Genomic DNA, 23,413 nt, shown 5'->3' with positions numbered 1-23,413 from the left:
TTGGGTCTTAGGGTTGGCCTGAGGGAGCAAAGCTGGGGTGCCCCTGCCCCCTTTGCACAGACAGGAAGATGGAGGCCCAAAGGGGTCAAGCGACTTTGCCCAAGGCCATAAGGTTAGTTGGCAGCAGGATCAGGGCACCCTTTTCATTGCACCACAAGGCCTCCTTGGCAGGGTGCAACGTGTCCAGCCACTGGCTTCTGTCTAAAGAAAGAAAGATTCAAGAAGACACGGATTCGTTTCTGGAAAAGTGGATTGGATTGGTTCTGTGGGGCCCCCAAGGAGTAACAGTATAGCTAAAGAGTTAGGAACATGGATTTCAGCATCACGCAGACTGCAATGTGAGTTTTGACTCTGCTATCCTCCACTGTTGTGACCTTGGGCCCCAAGAGCCTCGGTTTCTTCACTGTGCAGTGGCACTAATGAGAAACACTACGTCGGTGTTGTGGTGAGTCAATAAGACAATCCATGGTGATACCTACAAGGATACACTTTGCTTCTTTTATGAATGATACTTTAGGTCTGTGTTTATTCACATGCTAAGATGTTAGTAAGAAAGTGAAGAGGTTATGCTATTGTCAGGAATAGCAATAGCCTAAATTGTATGCAAAATTGTATACACAGGCTTCCAATGATGCAAGGAGCTGCCTGCGCAACAGTGAGCTCCTCATCACTGGAGGTGAGCAAGCCCCTGGTGGGGGTGAGGCAGGGAGGACTCGGGCATCTGCCAGAGAAATGGCCCAGCACCCCGATGCCCATAATGCCCACTCTCCCCCTTCTCAATTATCTGGCTCCCACTCACTGGGGGCCCCTGTTTTCCAAAGCAGCAAGCAGCCTGCGTGGTAATTACTTTTGGACTTATTAAGCATAATTATCCCCTAATCGCATACAACCAGTAATTACTGTGGCTGTTACCAGGGGCCTACCCATGCAGGGCCGCCCTCAGCACTGGCGTCCAACACCCAGCTGGGGCCTAAGGTGGAGCTGGTGCTCCCTGCCATGGGTTTGGGGGTGGGGGTGTTGGCTGGGGTGGGGCTGCTGCATCTGAGATCCCCAACCTGGTGCCCCTTCAGCCTGGGCACCAACTGGTGAAGGAGTCACTCACAAATGCCAGCCCTGGGGCCACCCCAAGCTCCAAGCAGGCAGGGTCCTTCCAAGTACTCCCTTCCCCATGATGCTTGCCCAGGCTGCCCTGCCTTTGCCCAAACCATTCCCTCCTTCCGGGCTCTCTTTCTCTCCTCCTTTCCCCTTTCCTTCCCTCCAGCCTCCTATCCACCCTCTTTCTTCTTTCAAATATTTACTGAATCTCTTTTATGTTCCTGGCACTATTTCTAGTACTGGGGATACAACAGTGAAGGGAAAAAATTGCAAAAATCCGTGCTTTCATGGAGCTTACTGTCTATTTGGGAGAGAGAGAGAATGAACAAAATCAGTAAGTGATGTAGGGTATTAGAAAGGGTTGAGTTCTATGAAGGAATAGAAAGCGGAATGTCAAGGAGGAGGTTTTCTTGGGCTGGAGGAGAAATTCAGTTTTAATAGGATGGCCAAAGGGAGAATGGGACATTTGAACAAAGACTTGGAAGGAGATGGGCTAAACTAGATGACATCTGGGGAATGTTCCAGGAAGAGGGGCCAGCCGGGGCCAAAACCCGAAGGTGGGAGCAGGTCTGGCGCATTTGAGGAGCAGGGAGGGTGTCCTGGTGGCTGGATCAGAGAAGCGAGGGGGAGAGGGGTGGGTGAGGAGGTCGGAGCTGCCAGGACGGGGGTGGAGGGCAAATGGTAGAGCCTGGTGGGGCAGTTTAAAAACTTTGGCTTTTCCTCTGAAGCAAAGTTTTGAGCAGAGAGGTGAACACTTTCTTTCTTTCTTTCTCTTTCTTTCTTTCTTTCTTTCTTTCTTTCTTTCTTTCTTTCTTTTTCTCTCTCTCTTTCTCTCTTTCTTTTTTCTTTCTTTCTCTCTTTCTTTCTCTTTCTTTTCTTTCTTTCTTTTTTTTTTTTTAATTAGAGTCGTGCTCTGTCTCCCAGGCTGGAGTGCAGTGGTGGGATCTCAGCTCACTGCAACCTCCGCCTCCCGGGTTCAAGCGATTCTCCTGCCTTGGCCGGATGCGGTGGCTCCCGCCTGTTATCCCAGGACTTTGAGAGGCTGAGGCAGTCAGATCACGAGGTCAGGAGATCGAGATCATCCTGGCTAACATGGTGAAACCTTGTCTCTACTAAAAACACAGAAAATTAGCCAGGCGTGGTGGCACGTGCCTGTAGTCCCAGCCACTCCGGTGACTTGTACTTTTATAGCCTCCACTCTGTCCACAGTGATGGTGAGGGTTAAGGGGGGCAGGAGCCCAGGGAGGAGGAGCTGTGGCTGCAGTCCCAGTGAGAGAGTGGGGAGGCTTGGGCTAAGCGGCAGCGCGGAGCAGGTGGCAGTGGGAGGAATCTGGAAACATGTTCGAGGTGGACATGGCAGGACTCTCTGAGGGGCTACATATGAGGTGTCAGAGAGAGGTCTCAAGAATGGCACGAAGGTTTTTGGCCTCCACAAGTAGAAAGCTAGAGCTGTTTCCTGAACTGGGGCACAGCATGGGTGAAACAGGTTCTAGAGGGGAGGGCAGGCGTTCAGTGTCCGGCCAGTTGAGGTCCAACGTCCAAGGGAGCTGTCAGCCTGTGGGTCAGAGGAGACCGATCTGGCTGGAGGTCTGCAGGTGGGAGCCCCTGACAGGCGGATGACTGGGAAGCACCTAGGCGGGCTGTGCTCTTCGAGTGAATGAATGAGGCTAGGAGCCACGAGATTCAAGGTCTGAGCCCTGCGCCTCCAGCGGTGGGACTGGGGAGATGTAGGGAGACCAGCAAAGGAGACTGGGAAGGGGCAGTCAGAGAGGCAGAGGAGGAGAGCCCGGCCAAGGAAAAGAAGCCTGGCCAGGAGCAGGGAGGAATCTCCCAGAGCCTTAGGGGACCAAATTCTGCCTCTTCCACTTCCCTGCTGCATCCTCACACCCTCCATCTCTCTCTCTCTTCCCCCTCCCCTCTCCCTATTTCTTTCTGTGGCTTTCTCTGTCTCCCTGGGGCTCCTTCCCCGGGCCTCTCCCTCCACCCCTGCCTGCCCGGCCCCTGGCAGCGGGTCGCAGGCCGCCGGGGCGCGGGGATCTCGGGCCCCCGCCTGCACGTGCCAATCCCGAGAGGCGGCGGTGTCTCGCCACCAGCTCGCGGGCCCCGTGCCGCGCCTCCTGCCCGCGTAATGCGCTCTAATATTTATTTACATGACTTTCAGACTATTATTTATTAAGGTATCGCTGCCAAGTGTGCGCAGGCTAATTGCTCTTAATGTGCCCCCTCCCGGTTCCCACTGCGACGCCTTCGTGGAGACAGAGCCAGCGACGCTCGGAGAGGGGAAACCGAGGACCGAGCGCGCGGAGGCTGCCGGGAGGGCGGGGGACCCAGCGGGGTCGCGGCGCGGCGTCCGCGGGGCGTGCGCGGTCGGGGCGCGGAGGGTGCTGGGAGCGCACTTGGGATGCTGGGACGCGGGGAACTCGGAGTGGGGGTCGCGGAGCGGCAGCGCGAGAGGCAGAACCTGGGGTGCATTTGCTGACTTGGCGTGGGGCGGGAGACCCCGAGCGCGAGGGGCGGTGCTGGGAGCCCAGGCGGGGTCTTGGCGACAAGTTGGGGACCTTGGGACCAAGGGAAGATGCGGGGAGCCCAGGCGGGATCTTCGCCAAAGTTGGGGACCTCGGGACCTAAGGCTGGTGCGGGAAGCGTGGGCAGGGTCTTGGCAGAAGGTGGAGGACCAGGAATGCGAGGCCCGTCGGGAGTGGGGACCGACGGGCGGCGCTTGGGTCTAGTGCGGGCTCGTGTTGCCGCCGGCTGACTGACCGACGGCCGCGGGGCCCGAGGAGGGGGCCGTCGCCTCTCCCAACCCCACCCGCGTAGGCGGCGGCCTCGCCTCGCCTGGATCTTCCGACGTCAGCAGCCGCAGCCAGAGCCGGAGGGAGCGGTTTAATTGGCAGGATTGTGGGTTAAGGACAGCTGCGGCTTTGCGGGGTTTGGAGGAGCGCGCGCGCAGGGGTTGGGGAGGGTGCTCGTTGGAGGAAGGAGGGGTGAGGGGAGGGGGAAAACAGACTGAGAGACCCTGGAGGAGCGTGGAGAGATGGGACAAAGCCAGGGGTGGGCGACCTATTGGGACAGAGAAGCAGATGAAGAGGGACATAAAATATAGCCCAGCAAAGCCAGAAGCCAGCTGTAGGCTGGAAAGACCCAGAAGGGAGCGGGATCCTGCCACGCTGGCTTCTGCCTCCTGCCTGGTGGAGGCCCTCACCCCTCACCCCTGTTGCCGGGACCACCCATGCCCCATGCATTAGCACTGCCCCACTCTAGGCAGCCGTTGTGATTAGGAGAGCGGCTAACTTGAGAACACTGATTCGTTTAATTTTATTACTGGTACTGTGGGTACTGTCTGCCAACTCCTAGGCCTTGCTGGTGTCATCCTGAAAGTTCTCTGGGCTGGGAATCACAGCTTAATAAAATCCAGGGAACTGTGCCCTGCCCCTCCCATCCCACACAATAAAGTCGGATTCAAAGCCAGCTGTGCAGGGACCTCCTGGGACCCTCTGCTGAGCCACACTGGGCCAAGCACATTTCTTTGTGTGAACGTAAGTGAGGTAGTATGGGGATTTTCCGGATGGGCAAACGAAGGCACTGAGAGGTAAAGTCACTTGCCCAGCTAGTGAGAGGCAGATGATGGCTGGCCAGGGAGGTCAGCCCAGAAGCTCATGCATGTTTCGCTACCCGAGGCCAAACCTCTGATTGATGGTGGTTGTAATTTCTTCCTGTCCCTAAGCCTGGAGGGATGTTGTCCTGGTGGCTGTGGGGCCTTCTGACACTGAATCCGGGTGTTCTGCCTGGTTGGTGGTTACTGGAGGCTCAAGGTGGCTGTTTGGGTTCCTTGAGCCCGTTTCTCCATCCCTGGACCAGGTGCACCCATGCTGGACTGTGCCACCTGAAAGCTGGGCTTTTTGGCCTGAAGAAGAGTCCGTGCCTCCAGGAAAGCAGACACAACCTCACAGCAAGCAAGGGCGGGATGGAGGCAGTCTCCTTCACCCTGTCATCCTTGAATGCTCTCAGGTCTGGAAGCAAGATATTTAATGTACAGCCTCAGAGATGGAGGGAACCTTAGGAGTTATCCAGTTCACCTCCCTCTTTTAACAGACAGGGAAACTGAGGCCCAGAGAGGTGAAGGCACTTGCCTAGGGGCACATAGTCTGTGCACCTGTAGTGAGCTGTGCCTTTGCTGAATGATTATTAGGAGCTGTGGACAGCCCCTCCCCCCATCTTATTGCAGCATCCAGGGATCTGGGTTTTACTACCAACTGGGGAGAGCAGCAGGATTTGTCTTCTTTGGGCCCCACCTGTTCTTCCAGCCCGTTTCCGGATCTTGCTACCCTTCCATCTAGGGTTCCCTGCTGCTCTAGGGCCCCATCTCCACCATCCTAAGTATCTAGGTTATGTGCATGGCCCCTCTGCCGTCACTTATCTCTAGCCCTCACCTCTACGTGTAACACATACGTTTTCACGGTGGCTCTTATGAATACGTTACCTGTATTAGTCTATTTTCTGTTGCTTATAACAGAATAACTGAAGCTAGGTAATTTATAAAGAAAAGGAATGTACTTCTTACAGTTATGGAGGCTGGGAAATCCAAGGTCAAGGGGGTACATCTGGGGAGAGCCTTCTTGCTGGTGGGGACTCTGGTGTCCTAAGGTGGTACAGGGCATCACATGGTGAGGAGGCCGAGTGTGCAGATGGCAAATGTGCTAGCTCAGGTCTTGTCCTTTATTATTTTTTTTTTTAGATGGAGTTTTGCTCTTGTTGCCCAGGTTGGACCGTAGTGGCATGATCTTGGCTCACTGTAACCTCCGCCTCCCCAGTTTAAGTGATTCTCCTGCCTCAGCCTCCCAAGTAGCTGGGATTACAGGTGTCTGTCACCATGCCTGGTTAATTTCTTGTATTTTTAGTAGAGATGGGATTTCACCATGTTGACCAGGCTGGTCTCGAACTCCTGACCTCAGGTGATCCACCTGCCTTGGCCTCCCAAAGTGTTGGGATTACAGGCGTGAGCCACTGCAGCTGGCCCTCTTCCTCCTCTTATAAACTCACTAGTTCCCCTTCTATGATAACCCCTTAATGGATTAATCCATTCATGAAAGCAGAGCGCTCATGATCCAATCACCTCCTCAAGGCCTTACCCCTGAATACTACCACATTGGGGATTAAATTTCAACATGTGTTTCAAAGGGGACAGATACTCAAACCATAGCATTACCCTAGAGTAGCTCTAATGTGAGAGTTTCAGGCCCAGTGAAGGCAGGTGTTTCGGGACCTGAGTGATTCTGGCCCAGGGCCTATCCCTCCCAGGGCCTCAGTATCTCCATCCATAAAATGGGGGTGGGGGTGAGTGTTTGGAGGTTTCTAAGCACCCTTTCCAGGTCTGACATCTTGGGACTGCTCACAGTAGGAGCAGCTGGAACCTGGGTCCCCCAAGCCGGAGCCCGTCTGCTGCTTTTCCTGCTGGCCCAATGAGCAGTGTGTGATGAGCTGGGGAAAGGCAGGAAGATGTGTCATTGATTTTCCTTCTGTGTCTTGAGCCTCCTGGTTCCCAGCTGCCTCCTTGGGGAGGGACAGGAAGAGCTGGGCTTCATTTGCCTTCTGGAGATGGTGTGGCGAGAGAGACTTGGCGAGCAAGAGGAGAGAGAGGAGAGGGAACTTGCAGTCCCAGCAGTTGAGCAGGGAAGAGCAGTTCTTCCATTAACTTGGGAGAAAATGAACAGCTCAGTAACAAATTCTCCCGTCTTCCCCCTACTTGGCTGTGTTAGCCTAGCCTGGTAGCACCTGGCACTCAGTAGCTGTGTAGTGAATTCACAGATGGAATGAATGAATGAACGCATAAATGCCTTTAAGGGACTTGACTGCAGAGTGGGGCAGACCTGGGTTTGAATCCTGCCCCACTGGTTTCTAGCTGGGTGACCTTGGGTAAATTAATAATAAAATCTATTTTTATTATTTTTATTATTTTATTTTATTTTTTATTTATTTTATTGTATTTTTATTTATTATATTAAATAAAATTATAGGTAATTTTATTTATCTAATTAAAAATAAAATTAATTAATAAATCTGAACTTCAGTGTCCTTAATTCATAACACCAACATGGTAATCTGTAGAGTTGTGAGGAGCAAATGAGATGAATCAATGGAAAGACCTCGGACTCCTGTCTGACATTTAAGACTCTCTAATTGTAACTTTTGATGATTTTCACTAAAGATGGAATGATTGGGTCAGACTTTAACCTTGCACTTGAGCATACATTTACTGAGCAGCTAGGATGTTCCAGACCTTGCAGAGGGCCTAGAGATGACTGAGGCCAGGTCTCTTCTCTCAAGTTGCTCATAGTTTGATGGGAGAGACACATGGCCACACAGCCCTGAAATGTCATTGAGAAGTGCTCGTAGCAGGCATTACCTAGAGTACGCACAAAGGGTTGTGGGAGCAGAGGTTGGAGAGGTCCAGTCTGCCTTGGGGGTGCCAGTCAGGGAAGACTTCCTGGAGGAGATGAGCTCTGCATTGAACTTTGAAGGATGACAGGAGTGGAGTGTGTCCCTGGGAAATGTCCCTCATAGGCAGAGTGAACATGCAAGGACTTGAATGGCTTGTCTGGGGAATCCTGAGAATCTGGTCTCTACCCTGTGTTGCTTTGTCAGGAGGTCTCTTCTAAGTGCCTTTCACCTAACAGCATCCTGCCCTGGAGGAGACTTCCAAGCATGATTGGAGCTCCCAATCCGATGGGGGAGACAGGACACACATACGTGTAATAAGAGTGTCCCCTGTGAGGCTGCTGCTGAGAGAAGCTCTGGGAAGTGTTCCTGAGAGTGGCTTCCCATGGAGTTTGGAGGAGGAGGAGTGGGCCAAGCAGGGAAGGACCAAGAGGTCACCTTCTCCTTTCCAGCCCCAGGTGAGCTAGTGTCACATTTTTAGCAGAGAAGAAAGACTGTTGACAGGGGACAGGAATAGCTTCTGAAGCCTCCCTTCATCCCTGCCACTCCTCTTTCCACAGATGCCTTTGGCAGGAGCTGGTCCGGGCCTGGAAGGCAGTGCACGCCCACAGCGCCCTCTGCTGAACGGTATCAGAACAGCAGGCTTGGAGGGCGAAGGCAATTCCTGCAAAGGATCCCTGGTTTCCTACCCATGGGAAACCCCAGATTCTGAAGCCAGGAATGAAGGGTAGATGGAGCCTGGGTCAGCACCCGAGAGGACCCATATGTGCAACCTGGAGGATCTTGGAGCTTGGGAGTAGCGTAGGGGGTGGTTAGTTCAGTTCGGGATGGCTGAGGAAGCCGTTTTAAACAACTTTCACCGAGATCTTACTGAGGGCTCAGGAACTTGGCATGGCCACCATCCTGGGTATCCAGGGCCCCTCCTTCCCCCAGGCTAGGAGAGGAACCCCTCCCAGCAGATGCCTTCCCAGACTACCCTTGTCTCACTTATCATAGAGGACGTGTGCCGCCTTCCTTCTCCCAGGCCCTGGATCTGGGGTTGCTGGACTTGGTGCGTGGGTGGTCTGGATGCTTCTAGGATGAATTCATAATTGGGAGATTCTAGGTGATGCTCAGATGGAAATGAGGGCAACTGCTGCTTGATGGCAGAACAACAGAGCTTGGCAGAGCTAGGCTGGACTCGACTTGGCATTTTCTCTCCGTTTCAGACCAGGATACGGATTAATTGAGCCCAGCGGAGCTCAGGTTTCCCGGGGCGGGGGGCAAGCAGTGCCTTGGAGGGAGTGGGGTACTGTGGGACGGAGGACCCAGGAGACCCAGAATCCTGAACTGTCGGGCTGACTTCGTCTCCTACAGAGTTCTTTAACCCAGGAGCCCCGAGAACCTGCTTTCCTCAATGTGTTCTTCACCCGTGAGGGACTAGGACATCCTAATTGCCATCCCAGCAGGACACACACACAGACACACACACACACACACACACACACACACACACACACACACACAAAACTGGCCTTTACAGGATGCACAGTGGAGGAAAAGAACAAAGAAGCACGTGTCTTACAAAGGGAGAGGCAGTGCCAGGCTCATAGAAGTCAGTGAGGTACTACAAAGGGGACGTCAGGTCCCCCCAGCAGCCTAGAGCCATGGTGAGGGCCAGGGAGAGGGCTTGTCTATCACAGTGACAGTCCATTATCCAGCTGAACATCACCTAGGAGGGCCATGCATGTGAACAGGGTTTCTGTTTACCATGTCAGCTTCAGCCTGGGGGCTCCTCCAATTTTTCCCATTAGGAGCCCTTAGCACATCGCTGCAATGTTTCTGGCTTATTGGGAATTCCTATTATAGTCCATTGTCCTCCCTCAAATCTGAAAAGGGATGATTGATTTTGAGGAAACAAGGCAAGTTGCTGAAGGATTTCTAAATGAGCCTTATGTTTGATTTTGGGGTCAGTCTGTGTGGGTTCCAAGACAAGATGGTGGCTGGTAATGATTTTCAAATAAATATATTTTGTGATCACGAATTGCCTCCGGGAGAAATCTGAAATGTGGCAAGCAGCTCAGGAGAGACACTGCTGCAGGTGCCGTCAGTGCCTTGCTGCAGCCCCTTGGCGTGTTTCAGGTCAGTGCACTTGGGCCTGACTCCCATCTGCCAGCACCTGCATCTCTTTCTTTTTAAAAAAGCCAAAAAAATCAGTTTCATGGTTCATCTTGCTAATTTCAAACCAAATGTACTAAAAAAAATGTGGGTTACCCTTTGTAATTTAGGCTTTCTCTATTCAATAATGATACATCCTGGTCATTTATTATTACAGAGGTCTTGGAATAGTAGATAGCATATCTGGAACTTTAAAATCTGCAAAGATACTGTACGCATGTCTCAATCATTTGTGCAGGGGAGGTGCCAGGGTTGAAGGAAACGCATGGTAGACACTGCATCATGTTCTCCTTTTATTAGCACGAGTGCCTACCTTTCTTTGCCTGGCAGCTTTCTCGCGGGCTGCAGGAGCCTGCTCAGCTGGTGCACCTGTGCTAGACCAGAAGCACCAAGGAATGAATCCTCCAGAGTGGCCTTCCCCAAGGGCTGAGTGGAGCTGGTGTACACGCACCCCGTTCCTTCACTGTGAGCTTTGGGGTGTGCATCTACTCTGACTCCCAGAGTTACCAGTGGGGCGAGGGTCCACACCTGTAGCAGTAATCTCCTTGGTAACCTTCCCTTTACTGGTGTTCTTTGCGTTCCTATTTCACTTCCACATTTCCTTAAGGGTATTTTCTGGAATCACCCAAATAAACTATTTGCACTGAATCCTTGTCTCAGGCTTTGCTTTTGAAGGAACTGCTGTGACCAACTTGTTCCAGGTTGACTGGAACTGTGCCAGTTTTAAAACTGAAAGTCTCACATCCTGGTAACCTTCCTCAGTCCCCGGCACACCACGACAATTAGTCACCTTATGGGGAACCCGAACGAAGACAGATGTGACACATGAAGTGAGGCAAACAGATCGCCGAACTGCTAGTCTGAAAGCCAGGTATCCTTGGCTTTGAGAATAAAAGATCAGACACAAGTATAACTTTGTCATATGATCAGGTTCAACAATTTTTATCAGCTCAAAGCCTAGATAATGGTAGCCACCATGTACAAAGAAGCCATTTCTTTGAGAACAGACACACACACAGCCCCATGGTAGGATTTGCTGAGTATTAGTGGACATTAGACGGCTGACATCCAGGGCTTCCATGACATCTATGTAATTGGCTACCAGGCAAGCAGGTGATGCATATCCCAAGAAGAAGAAAGTGTCATAGGCACTATGGGGACATTACAGATGAGCAGGCAAGGGCACGGGTAGCATGCCATAGGCACTTGAGGCTCTGATGGGGACAAGCACCAGCCATGCCACTTGAGCCAAAGCCACCTGGGCAGATAGTGAAACTATACCACATGTGTCACCACAGTCAGCGGCATTGAGATGAGGCGCATTGCGTTGGGACGTGGCTGTAAGCTCAAAACGGCTGGCCCTGAGCCAAGGAGATTTGCAGCATGAACAGGAGAAAAATCCCACCTCATCGGGTAACCCGGGGAGGCAGTGCTGTTGAGAGGCTAAAGTCAACGGGCTGGGAGCAGGGCTGGACACACAGGGCAGAGAGGTCCACGGTTGGGAGCTGTAGGCGTGGCCAGGAGCTGCTGCCAAGCCCCTGACCTTGGACAGATCTCTGCGGATCAGATTACCCAGCTGCAAAATGCCACACACACCCCTGCCCTGGTTATTTTTACACTGGCTTTGCAGAGCATGCTATGTTACAGCTGAAGAATGTGTCCATCTTTTTTCTGTTGACTTCTCTAGTCTCTGCTAGATTGGTAAGAACAAAATCTTCCAGATGCCAAGGCAATGAGCACATGCCCCATTCATGGGGCGGCAGTACCCTTCCCTCTCCTTTCCCAGGGCACTAAAAGTATGGAGTGCATTTGATTCTAGAGACCACTTAGAGATGTTATAATGGGCACATAGAGAGATGTGCATTTGGGCATTTGGACCCCTGAATGATAGGTGCTGGGGTGTCACACAGGATCCAGCCAGGCAGGTCAATGGGGCAGGCAATTGCAGGGTGGGGGGGCAGACTGTACACAGATAGGGGAGACCCCCTTTCCTCCTTCCCTCTCATGGGGAGTCCCTGCCAAGGAAGAGAGAAGGGGAACAGTAGCATGGCCCTCAAATAAGGGTAGGGATTAACAGAGGGCAAGTCAGGATCTAGAGGAAACTTCCAGAAACCTTTTTTGACAGCTGTTCCTGGTGAACCAGCTGGAAGGGAGAAGGAGGAACCCTTGCTTTTCATGTCTCTGAAGAGCAGGTGAAAGCCCACCAGAATCGAGTCTTGGAAGCAGCTAGTCTATTCATCAGCCACAGCAAGTGGCAGTGAGTGGCAGCTCAGGTCAGTGAAGGCTAGGGGATGCCATTCATTTTGCCCGCAGAGAAGGGACTGGCTGGGGAAACATGGGTGCCGGCTGGAAACCGAGGCCGCTTATGGACAAGTCCAGTGTAAGTCTGCCAAAGGATGGGGCCCAGTTATCCTGGCATCTGGAGTTGGTCTCGAGCTGAGGGGCCTGAGACAGGGTTCTGCATCTGCATGTGGTGGGAGGTTGGGCCCTCGGGGCACTCTGTTGCAGGGACATTCCTGCTCCACCTGGACAAGGAGGCCCCCAGCACCAACTCCCCTCTGGCTGTGCAATACCATGAGCTATTGTGGTCATCTGTACCCATACCATAAATGAGAGCCTGAAAGCTCAGGGGGCTGGCCGTTAGCGCAAAGGGTACCTAGGTAGTGCTAATACGAGGCCACACCCACAGATGGCAGGACCATTCTAGGGCCAGTGAAGACAAACCCACCTAGAGAACCAAGGAGTGGGAAAATGATTCATGAAACAGAGACTCTTCAAATGCTCCTTGCCAAGCTCCAAAAAGGACAGGGACAGCACCTCGTATGTTCACTGTGGTACCCCAGTATGCCATGCCTGGCATACAGTAGGCACCCAGTAAAGGCTTTCTGAACGCCAGTGCCGCAGGAGCCCTAAGAGAGATCTAGACCAGCATTTTGCGACCTAGTAACCAGAGAAGAGCTGCTGCTGGGTCACCTGCTCGGAGCCTGACAACGCACAGTAACATATTAACGGGTCAGGTTGTCCTAATCTAAAGAAGTTTGTCTTTCTACTGCTTCCTCAACATCTTTGCCCATAGCACAGTTTCTCATAGGTTGCTTATTCACGTCTCATCTAAGTGAGGAACAGGGTTGGAAATGCTGATCTTGTGAACCCCCGTCATTCCACAAAAGATGAAACAGGGGTTCAGAGAAAGCAAGTAATTTGCCAGAAGTCACACAGCACACTAGTGGTGGAGTTGGGACCCATGCTTGGGTTCCTCAACTCTCAGCTCAGTGTTTTTCCCACTGAAGGCAGCTTGGAGGCTGGGCTTTGTCTTACGGTGGCATTAGCCCTTTCTTCAGACAGTGCAGGGCATAAATATTCCTTTGTATGACCTAGAAAGCAAGGGCTGGTTTAGCAAGTTAAACCAGATTAACCCAAAGTAAATGAGATTGCAGGGGCAATGTGTTCCCTGCTTGAGAAACTTTAGAACTCTGTTAGCTTCAATGTATGTACTAATTACCAAAGGTTCTTATCTTTTCCTTAAAGCGAGTCCCCTAGGTCCTCTGCCTAGCAGTCCCGGTAGCACGTTTTTGAGGCTGCATGTCATCTCAATACCACTGAAGTTCTTTAAAAATGTCTCTTGTCCAGACCTGCCCCCATAGCTCTTGGGTTATTTGCAACCAATGAAGATTTGTTCTTCTGCACCTTTGGGGCTGGGCAGGGGAGCCAGGGTTGCAGAGATCAGCAGTTTTCTTGGGCCTCAAACATGTTGCAGAGCTCCAGTGGCCGGTGCGGGAGCAGTCTGAGGAACTTTCCTAGAGAAGTGGGTGGCATGCCCACCACCTTGCTGGATTTCTTGGTTGCTCCTGCTAGGCATCTTGTAGCACTAGTTCTATGCTGGCAGAGACCGGTTCACCTCAAGCCCTGGCCATTGTCCAGGCTGAGGCCTGGAGACCCAGAATCAGACTCATCTGGTGGGGCAGGGAGGTGCTGGACAGCCCAGTTCAGCCTGGTTATGTAGAGGAAGAAAGAGGCCCAGAACACACACGCCACTTGTTCAAGGTCACACAGAGAACTCAAGCAAATTCATGTTCATGAAGAGGGAAACATCTCAGAGGCAGAGAGTCTGGGACTGTCAGAGCAGGAGAAAGCCCCAGCTCCAGGGCACCTAGGAGGAGAAACCACTTGCCCAAACTAGTACTAGGCTGAGACCTGAGTCTGGGTGTTCTGACTCAAAACCTGGCATTTTTTTTCCATTACTTGTGGTCCAGGAAGTAGATGCCACCCCCGGCCACCCTTACCCTGAAGCTGAGGCTGCTGCCTGCATAGCTAAAGAAGTGATTTTGGCAGGGGATGGGGAGTGTGCAGGGAGATGACAAAGCTCCGCTCACATCTCCTGGAAGCCTGGAGCAAGACAACCCAAAGCTCTTACCCGCCTTGGTGGCACTGACTTTGAGCCAACACCCCAGATTGGCATCCTGCCCCACCTGGGGTTGTGATGGCCACAGTGTCCAGGCCTGCCTGCCTGGGTTCCTCCCCAGAGGGTAAGTCTGAAGCAGAGCCAGTCCACAAGGCAGCAATGGGATTTCATCTTAAGTATTCAAAAGGGCTGTGAGAATCCCTCGCGGGAGACTTGTGGCATAGATGGAGGGGTGGGGGTGGGGGGCAGGGCACCATATCATGTTGGGGCTGCTTTTTCTCCCCTTGTGCCCAGTGGGCGTTCTGCTGGAGCCTCCTCCCTGACTCCAGCCCCTGCTGGAGGCTGCACACCCCTCGAGTCTTCCTGAGGCCGGGGCTTGCGCCAGAGCCCGCAGGACCCCACGAGTTGGTTTGATAAGCTAAGCTTCCAAGGCCTTCCCACGAGGGAAGTCTGTGGAGCTTCACTCCAAGGTTGGGACAGGAATTTGATGAGGAGAGATTAAGGCCTTGAAGGAGGGGGCTTCGAGGGTGGATAGATTCAGCCTGAAGTCCCAAGCTGGTGGGGTTCCTTGGTGAGGTCTAGACCCACCTCCAGGGGAGTCAGTGGGGAAGAGGAGACTGGGCAGCTCTATGCCAGCCATTAGGGTATCTGCGGCCACAGCACGCCATTCCCCATGTAGGCATCACACAGTGGGCTTGAGGGCAGGAAGCCCCTAGGGGATCCAGCCTGAAGTGTCAATTCATTCATTTCACCAAACAAATCAGGCCTCCCCTGGCCAGAGCTGCCATCCCCAAAGGCACTGCAGCCAAGCCTCTCTCCCACAGCGTGGCATGGCTCCAGAGGACCCCCTGATCCCATGGTGCGACCTACTTGGTGGTGGCTCCCTCGTGCCTCAGTACAAGTGATGCAGTTCGCTTTACCCAATTCCTAAAAGTGGGAAAATTAAGTAAGGTGTTGTCTGGTGTCTTCATTGACTTCTGTGACCATGTCTGTTCTTTTAGGACTATTTTTGCACAGACTGCTGCTTAAATCTAACACGTCAACTCACAAGGTGTCTCCCCTGGTCCTGCCACCACCTCTTCTTAGTGAGGGAGCCACTAATGATCTGCAAGGCAATACTAGTATGTATTAAGGAAGCTTCCTAGCCAAAACAAAAGGCCCCCAAACTACTCTTTTGTAAAGCGTTGAGAAGGATGCTTCTCCAATTGGCTTTTAAGTGGGATTTAGGGGGGGTCCTTGGCTGTTACCATGGAGACAAGAGCCTGTCCTACAGGCACCAGACTTGCTAGTCTCTATGTGCCTATGCAAGCCTGTAGGCCTGGTTACTTGAGGTCACTGGGTTCTCTCATCTGCCCTTTTATTTGAGTGGGCATTGCTGTGTCCACTCCGTGCCCACGTGGTCTACCTCCAGACAGGGCTCAGGCTTCCACTGCATCTTCCCTCGCCAGCCCCAGCAGCAGTCAGCCCGGGACTGCCTGAATGGGCAGAAAGGAACCACTGAACCATTTGAGATCCACTCCACCTCCTTCATCTCGCCCTCTTATTTTATAGATGAGGAAACTGAGGCCCAGACGGGGGCAGGCACTGGCCTAAAGTTGCATGGCTGGATGGTAGCAAAGTTGGGATTGAACTCAGGCCTCCTGGCTGCCAGTCCAGGGCTCTTTCTAGTAACTGAAATATTAGTTACAGCTCCAAAAGCTCCCCGAAACCAGGCCGACATGGCCCTGCCCATCCCTCTCCTCCCCACCCTTCCCTCCACCCAGCCTCCCCGTCACTCAACTACACATAATTCGGGTTATAGCAGAGCATATTGAACTCGAGATTCTCATCCCAGTGCCGCAGAAGCACAAACAGCTGGCGGGCAGCGGCCTTGAGTGTGCCCTGCGTGCGGCCCTCGGGTACTTCCTGCTGCTCCAGCCATGAGTTGGCCTTGGCAGCCACCAACTCCCACTCAGTGAAGTAGGAGGCCGAACTGTGCTCCAGCCATGCCAGCCCCACCACCGTGGCCCACAGCTTCCCAGTGTGCTCCACCACTGCCCTCGGCTCCAGGCCCAGCTTGCCCTTGGCCAGAGGCTCCAGGGAGAAGCTGTCACAGGACGGGTGCCTAGGCGGGGAGCTGGTGCACAGCTGGGGACTCGGGGTCTTGGACTCAGACGGGCGGGTGGTGAGGGACACTCGATGGCAGGTGAAGGGGGACGTCCACTTGAGCTTCTCCATGGGGATGTGCGTGGCCTCACAGAAGGCTTCGTTGAGCAGGAAGGCTCCGGAGGCCAGCTGCAGAGACACCTGTGTGTGGGGGAAGCCCTTCAGTGGGCCTCAAATGTTTTAGCCCAGGGAGCCATAGGCCATGCAAAAGTCTGGATCCATGTTGCCCACCCCACCCTGCCTGCCTGGGGGATTTTCAGGATACCCAGGTCAATTGAGCATCTCTATCCTTTATCCTGCAGACACTTCAAACAGATCATTCTCCAAGCCGAAGTCAACATCTTCACTCCATATTTGCCTCTTGTCCTAGGTGGGTGGCCTCACCTCAGCCACTGGGAATGTCCCCTGCAATGCAGGGAACTCTAGCAGCTCACCTTCCTCTTTCTCCCTGTGTAACCATCAGTTTCCGAGTCTCAACAGGTCTACTTTCTAAATCGCTCTGCAATCCATCACGTGCTTCCTCATGTTATTCCTGCCTCCTCTTTCCTCCCCTCTCCCCACCCCCAATCCATCTGTCCTACATACAGAGGGATCTCTAAGAGGCATAGATCACACACTTTTTGGAGGCTCAGTTCAATGACTTCAGTGTCTCATAGACTAAGTCCAAAATATGATCAATAAAGCTCTGCACCACCTAATCGTTGACTCTTACCCTCTCCAACTCCATTCCCCAGCTGCCAAGCTCTGTCTCTCCTCTGGAGGCCTTTGGCCATATCTCCTCATCCTGCAAGTCTTGGCTTAGCCTTGACCTTCTCCAAGAAGTCATGCTTGGGTCTGCTCCCCACATCTCAAGCCTGGTCTAGATGTCCACCCCCTGTACTCCCCAACCAAACCAGACCTCTCCCATTGCCACTCCCAAGGGTTAGAATTGCCTGGTTCCTTGTCTGAATCCTACTAGATACTTAGCACCATAAGTGCAGAAACTATGTTTGTCTAGTTCAATGTTGTCTCTCCAGGGTCTAGCACTGGGCCTAACTCAATAAATACTTGTTGAGTAAAAACATGCCTAGTGCTCAGTTGCCCTGGATATTTGGAAATTCAGAATATTATGCACTTGGGTATGGAGGGACAGAAGAGGTATGCAGTGATGCTCAAACTGTGCTCCTCCTTTGAGCATCCTCTGTTTCCCAAGCCCTGAGGGGCCCCAGATGTGGCAGGGCCAGTCTCCCTTGCTCCTTAATTCAGAGAAGCCCACTCCAGACCTGAGTCTCTCACCCTGCTACAGCATGCTGAGGTGTCTGCAGACCCAGTTGCTAAACACAGTCCATGTCCCTGGGATGTTAATTTTACTCACTTGTGAGTCATTTCAAAGCTTATTTTTATGTACTGAAAAACAGATACACATAGATGCGTGGAGTAGAATGCAAAATTCCCACGAATTTTTAAGGCAAAGATAGCAGATTGCAAAGAATTTTCGTGATGCTGGTGCTGGCTTCTAGCAATATCCCTAGGCCTCTGGGCAGGGGAGATTCATGCAAACTCCCTCTGCCCTGCTAACTACTTGGGTGGGAAGCTCTAGGAAACCTCAAAACTCAGGGGATCTGAGCTCTAAGACCAAAGCCTTCTTCTCTTTGAGGAAGTGGAGAGGTGGGCAGGGGGATCACAGGAAGGCCCTGCTGCTGAGTGGAGCGGAGGGAGACTGACACCTGGGGTCAGGGCACTCACCAGAGGTATGTAGTCGAAGCTCTGGTTCCCGGAGGTCGACTCCACAGCTTTGATCAGTGGCTTGCTCAGGAAGCCCTTGGCTGCTCGCGTCAGTAGCCTGGACTTGTTGAGATTTAGCCTGTGCAGGTGAAGTCAGGTGGCCCTGGGCATCCCAACCTCCAGTGCCCACCCAGAAGCCCCTGAAAGTCAGGGTCAGAAGGAATGCAATAGATGGCTCCCTCCAGCCTCCTTATCTGATAGCTAAGGAAGCAGAAGCCTGGAAACATGGGCTCGAAGCAACTGCTCCAAGTCACTCAATGAGTTAGCAGCAGCTGGGACTAGGAAGAGGTTAGTGTTCTCCTGATGACCCTCTTTTGTTTTGTTTCTGAGACAGGATCTCACTCTGTCACCTAGGCTGGAGGGACACAATCGTAGCTTACTGCAGCCTCAACCTCCTGGGCTCAAGCGATCCTCCCACCTCAGTCTCCTGGACTACAGGCACACACCCATGTCTGGCTAATTTTTTATTTTTTATTTTTTTTGAGATGGAGTCTTGCTCTGTTGCCCAGGCTGGAGTGCAGTGGAGCAATCTCGGTTCACTGCAACCTCTGCCTCCCGGGTCCAAGTGATTCTCCTGCCTCAGCCTCCCTAGTAGGTGGGACTACAGGCACATGCGACCATGCCTGGCTAATTTTTGCATTTTTAGTAGAGACAGGGTTTCACCATGTTGGTCAGGCTGGTCTCGAACTCCTGACCTTATGATCTGCCCATCTCGGCCTCCCAAAGTGCTGGGATTACAGGGGTGAGCCACCATGCCTGGCCTATTTTTAAATTTTTTGTAGAGACAGGGTCTTACTGTGTTGCGCAGGCTGGTCTCGAACTCCTGGCCTCAAGTGATCCTCCTGCCTCGGCCTCCCAAAGTGCTGGGATTACACGTGTGAGCTACTATACCTGGATTGTGACCCTCTTTTACTATCACATTCTTGTCCAGTCCAGTGGTCAGAAGAGTTTTATGTCAGCCCTCCCATGCATACTTGCATTTGGAAAGAGATCTTGGAAGTGTGGGAGATAAAGTAAAGTGGGGGATTTGAGGTAGGGTGAGACCTGGGAGACAGTGATTGCTCTGGGCAGGAGTGCCTTCTTTACGACACCTGCCTAAATGTCAGGCTGAACCTGTCTTTGGCCTTCCAAGTCAGGGAAAACCCCAGGGACCACCCCAGGAAAATGGGTGGCAGGAGAGTGTACCTTTATTGGAAATCCCACCTACCAGGATCCAAAGAGATTCTCTGAGGCCTTCATGGAAGAAAGAGTATTTGTAGCCAGGCTGCGCTGGGGACCTGGAGAGCCACAGAATGACCAAGTTGAGACCTGAAGATGACCCCGTCCAACTGCTCACTGACCAACTGGGGGAACAGAGGCCTAGAGAGGGGCAGGTGCTTAGCTAAGTTCCTAGGGACTCGAGCTAACCATTAGGCTGTGGAGCTCCTTCCGCTCCAGTTGGTGTAGGGTGGGATGAGATGTCTGCCTGTAAAAAGCTGGCCTCTAAGATTCCTTGGCCGGCAGCCCCTGGGATCTTCTGGAAAGTTACTTGTGGGGACAGTGACAGCTTCACTTAGCCCTGCTCATTCCTAAATGGGGACACTGAGTTGACCTCCTTGGCACGTTGCTAGAGGACTCTAGGCAGAGCGGAGTGGCAAAAATGGTCCCTCAGCGGGGAACTAGGAGGCCTGATCCAGGCCCAGCTCTGTCACCAGAGTACTCTGTGACCTTGGGCAAGTCACTTCACCTCTTTGCACCTGTTCCTCATCTTTCAATTGGGGATAATCCTATTCCCCATGCAGACGGCTGCTTTGAGGACTCCATGAAGCCCTGAGGACTTTGTCGGTGCTAAGATACTCTCCTGACCCCAGGACCAATCCCTGTCACCATCTTGATGAAGAGGCAGCGCCACCTGCCCACTCACCTTCAGAAGCACCGTGCTTCTCGCGGCCGGGGGACCTGGCCTCGCTGAAGAGAGCAGTGGGACTTGCCTCCATGTCTAGGACAGAGGAGCCAGTGAGGCTGGACCTCTCCCCTCCCTTCCTCGCCTCCCATCCCCTCAGGAGAGCAATGGTCTAATTCACGGTGTCTGCAGGTGGGTTGGGGAACAAGGCTAGGGTTTCCACCCCTGCTCGGATGGGCCTTCATCTTTCACAGATATAACCGTTGCCCCACCATAAGGTTAGACAGGCCTGGGTTCAAATCCTGACCCCCGCCACCACTACCACCACCACTGACCAGCTGTGGGGACTTGGCAAAATTACTTTATACATTTTGATTGCAAATTGGGGATAATATTATCTATCTCACAGTGTTGTAAAGATGAAATGAGATAATACGCAGATAGTGCTTAGTCCATTGCTAAGTGCTTAGTAAAGCCCTGGACTACGGGCCCTGTCTCAAAAAAAAAAAAAAAAAAAAAAGTCAGGAATGTGGGCATGAATCAGAGAACAATTTCAAGGGAGGGATTTGTAGCCAGGCATGGTGGCTTATGCCTGTGATCCCAGCATTTTGGGAGGCCAAGGTGATGAACCATTTGAGGTCAGGAGTTCGCGACCAGCCTGGCCAATATGGTGAAACCCCAACTCTACTAAAAATATAAAATGAGCGGGGCATGGTGGCAGGTGCCTGTAGTCTCAGCTACTCGGGAGGCTGAGGCAGGAGAATCGCTTGAACCCAGGAGGTGGACGTTGCAGTGAGCCGAGATCGTGCCACTGCACTCCAGCCTGGGGGACAGAGTGAGACTCCATCTAAATAAATAAATAAATAAATAAATAAATAAAATAAAGGATTTGTGATTTTGATGGAAGCCATAGGCCACCAAAAGCTAAGCTTCGGAGAAAGGAAGGTACAGACCAGCAATTTCCTGAAGACTGGAAGTTCAGCTTGGCTCAGGGGTGGAGCTGGTTCTCCTGGGTTTTGGAGGCCAATGGGACCAAGAAGTTGAGAGAACACTTTGATTCTGAAGAGCTCCTCTGGGTTTCCACCCCCTCACACTGTGTTCTGTTTCTGTTTTTGTTTTAAAACCCATCAATGTCTGTGAGCACTTTCTAGGACCTGGAATAAAAAAATCCTTATGGTCTGGGTGGCTGGGCTAGTGGCCAGGCGGGACCTCTGATGTCTTCCTCCTGCACAGCAAAAGGCAGGAGATCCTCCCTGTGCACGTGAGGGAACCTAGAAAGGGGTTAGGATGAGTGCAGCAGTTAGGCTGTCTTTAGAGAGACAGAAAGACACACATCCATGCAGGACACAGAGGGTTAAAGCCATCCTGGGAACTAGTGCAAGGTCACAAAAAGGTCAAATCCCAGCTCTTCAAGGAGCCAAGCTGCAGGCACAATGAAACCAGGTGAAGGCTCAAAGGAGGCTGTTGGGAATCCTGAAAGAAACAGATGGTGGGACCCAAACAGATGGGACTGCCTCTTCGCTCTTCGCTTTTTCCCTTGTTTATTAGGTTTCCTGGCAGTTGGTGCCTGGGAGGACTCAGAGGCTGGAGGCAGGGAACAGCACCAGGGTCAGCAGACCTCAGAAGGGGAGAGGTGCCGGCAGGGAGGTGGTGCCGCTCCCTGGCAAAGAGAGAACTGTGTCAGTGGTGGTGCGCTCCGGCCATACCGAGCCTCTCTGTCCCTCTTAGGCTTCAGAGAGCCTGGGAGGACTGGCTTTGCCTTGGGCCTGCCTAAGCCCACAGTGCAGACTCAGAGAGTGGTCCTAGGGCCTCGGACAGGAGGACGCGGTAACCTCAGGGGCCCAGGCTTCCGAAAGTGCCCAGGGTGGCTCTTACTTAGGGCCTGAAATTTACCATTTCCTGGTGCCGAATCTTCTCCAAGCATCGTCTGCGGCCTTCCAAAGCCAGAAGAGGTGCCCCTCCACTGTTGGGCCAGGGCCCGAGAGCCAAGCATACGCAGGGCAGCTCCTTCGCGGAAGACAAGGGGAAGCGGGTGGTTGGGTACAAATGTGCCAGTCCTTTGCCTTTCCCCCAGAGCTGACAGGAATGATTCTGGCTTCAATCTTTCAATTATCCAAAGGCAGGAAGGTGTTGTACAGGGTAAGACCATAAGCTTTAGAGTCAGAAAGACCCAGGTTTGAGCCCCAGCCCCATCTCTTTCCAGTTGGATGGGTGCGGACCCCACTGAGCCATAGTCTCCTTATCTAGAAAACGGGGATAATAATATCTAGCTTGCTGGGTAGATACTATTGCTGAGAGAATGTTCAAGAAGGCACAATGTTTTCCAGGAAGTTAAAAGGCCAGTTTTTTCAGGAACATTCTGTTCTTCTCTCTGTTTACTGTCTCAGAGATCCATGTCCCAAGTACCCCTCCCACAGGGCAGGCCCCTGAAATCCCAGGGCATCACCAAGAGGGGTTGGATGGAAAAGAGATGAAGTTACAGCACCCTGGGCTGGGCAGGGTGGTTCATGTCTGTAATGTTAGCACTTCAGGAGGCTGAGATGGGAGGATCACTTGAGCTCAGGAGTTCAAGACCAGCCTGGGTAACATAGCGAGGCCCTATCTCTACCAAAAAAAATAAAAAAATAAAAAATAAAAATAAAAAATTAGCTGGGTGTGGTAGTGCGTGCCTGTAGTCCCACCTACTGGGAAGGCTGAGGTGAGAGGATCACTTGAGTCCAAGAGTTAGAGATTGCAGTGAGCTGTGATTGTGTCACTGCACTCTAACCTGAGCAACAGAGCAAGACTCTCTCAAAGAAAAAAAAAAAGAAGAAGAAGAAAGAAGTTATAGCACCCTAAAGTATGCTTTAGGGAACCCCACTCTCAGAGAGCACTAGTCTGTAAGTTTTTCCTTAAAAATTAGAGTTGTGTTGGGAAACAAGTTTTGGAGAAGCTGCATACTGTAGCCCATTCTCTGAGCCTCTTGATGTATATTAACATACAAAATGCTCTGAGAAGTTCTGCAGTAAAGAAAGCTTTTGAACTTTATCTAATCCAGTGGTTCTTAAATGTATTTCCTAATCTGGTATTTTCTATTTTTATGCTGGATGGCTATTCATAGGACATGAGACTAGAGCTCTAGTTTCTTGGAACACACTTGGGGAAGTGCTGATCTAGATCTTAGGGGGCTTTGGGACTTTGGTTAAGATATGGGCCAGGTCCCTAACTTCCTAGGCTGTGGCTACAGATGCTAGCAGGCTGGTCATAGACAGGTGGGAGGGACGCTCATCCCTGCAACATGAATAAGCGAACAGCCTGATTAAATGGCCACTCCATTGCCTGAAATGACAACAGTTGAGAAGGGTTGATCACTTTGGTACCACAGATAAGAAAAGGGGGACAGGTGGAATTAGGAAGGGCATATTTTATTTCCAAACACAATTCTTTCTGGACGTCTGCTAATAAAAAGCAGGGGAGGGGTGACCATAAAGGACAGGAAAATGTAATTTGAAACAAAAAAAGCACAAATAGTTCATAAACATGACAAGCATCTC

At 52.1% G+C, this 23,413-nt stretch overlaps 1 protein-coding gene and 1 long non-coding RNA gene across 15 annotated transcripts in view, besides 2 other annotated features; one reads left to right on the top strand and one right to left on the bottom strand.

The window, feature by feature from the left end:
• LINC01141 (long intergenic non-protein coding RNA 1141) overlaps window positions 1-10,331 on the top strand; it is a 68,994-nt gene extending 58,663 nt beyond the window's left edge. Inside the window, exons 11-12 of the long non-coding RNA NR_033887.1 lie at window positions 7,738-7,988; window positions 8,091-10,331. This is a non-coding gene — a long non-coding RNA (long intergenic non-protein coding RNA 1141). The remainder of the gene's footprint in view (window positions 1-7,737; window positions 7,989-8,090) is intronic.
• A 282-nt stretch (window positions 10,332-10,613) lies between these two features.
• The window catches only part of VWA5B1 (von Willebrand factor A domain containing 5B1), a 68,644-nt gene continuing 55,844 nt past the window's right edge, over window positions 10,614-23,413 (bottom strand). For 11 of the 14 annotated variants that reach the window (NM_001039500.3, NM_001377531.1, XM_011540684.3 and 8 more), the window contains 5 exons: window positions 21,774-21,887; window positions 19,902-19,976; window positions 19,206-19,275; window positions 17,960-18,077; window positions 10,614-16,375 (listed from right to left, as the gene is read on the bottom strand). In NM_001039500.3, coding sequence (NP_001034589.2) covers window positions 15,869-16,375; window positions 17,960-18,077; window positions 19,206-19,275; window positions 19,902-19,976; window positions 21,774-21,887 — 884 coding nt within the window. In that variant the 3' untranslated portion in view covers window positions 10,614-15,868. Of the gene's footprint in view, window positions 16,376-17,959; window positions 18,078-19,205; window positions 19,276-19,901; window positions 19,977-20,833; window positions 21,035-21,773; window positions 21,888-23,413 lie in introns of those variants that run through there. The other 3 variants (XM_011540688.3, XM_011540693.2, XM_047445799.1) reach the window with 3 other exon arrangements.
• Window positions 15,594-16,094: an enhancer, noted in NCBI's record as "H3K4me1 hESC enhancer chr1:20680531-20681031 (GRCh37/hg19 assembly coordinates)". NCBI's record gives its function as "activates a minimal SCP1, AML or CMV promoter by ChIP-STARR-seq in naive H9 embryonic stem cells {active_cell/tissue: H9 hESC(naive)}" and the evidence as "EXISTENCE:reporter gene assay evidence [ECO:0000049][PMID:30033119]".
• Window positions 16,095-16,595: an enhancer, noted in NCBI's record as "H3K4me1 hESC enhancer chr1:20680030-20680530 (GRCh37/hg19 assembly coordinates)". NCBI's record gives its function as "activates a minimal SCP1, AML or CMV promoter by ChIP-STARR-seq in naive H9 embryonic stem cells {active_cell/tissue: H9 hESC(naive)}" and the evidence as "EXISTENCE:reporter gene assay evidence [ECO:0000049][PMID:30033119]".

The sequence above is a fragment of the Homo sapiens genome, chromosome 1, assembly GCF_000001405.40.
Source record: "Homo sapiens chromosome 1, GRCh38.p14 Primary Assembly".
In the NCBI taxonomy this organism is placed as follows: Eukaryota; Metazoa; Chordata; class Mammalia; order Primates; family Hominidae; genus Homo; species Homo sapiens.
The sequence above is the reverse complement of the archived record's forward strand: the minus strand, read 5'-3'. Positions and strand labels throughout refer to the sequence as shown.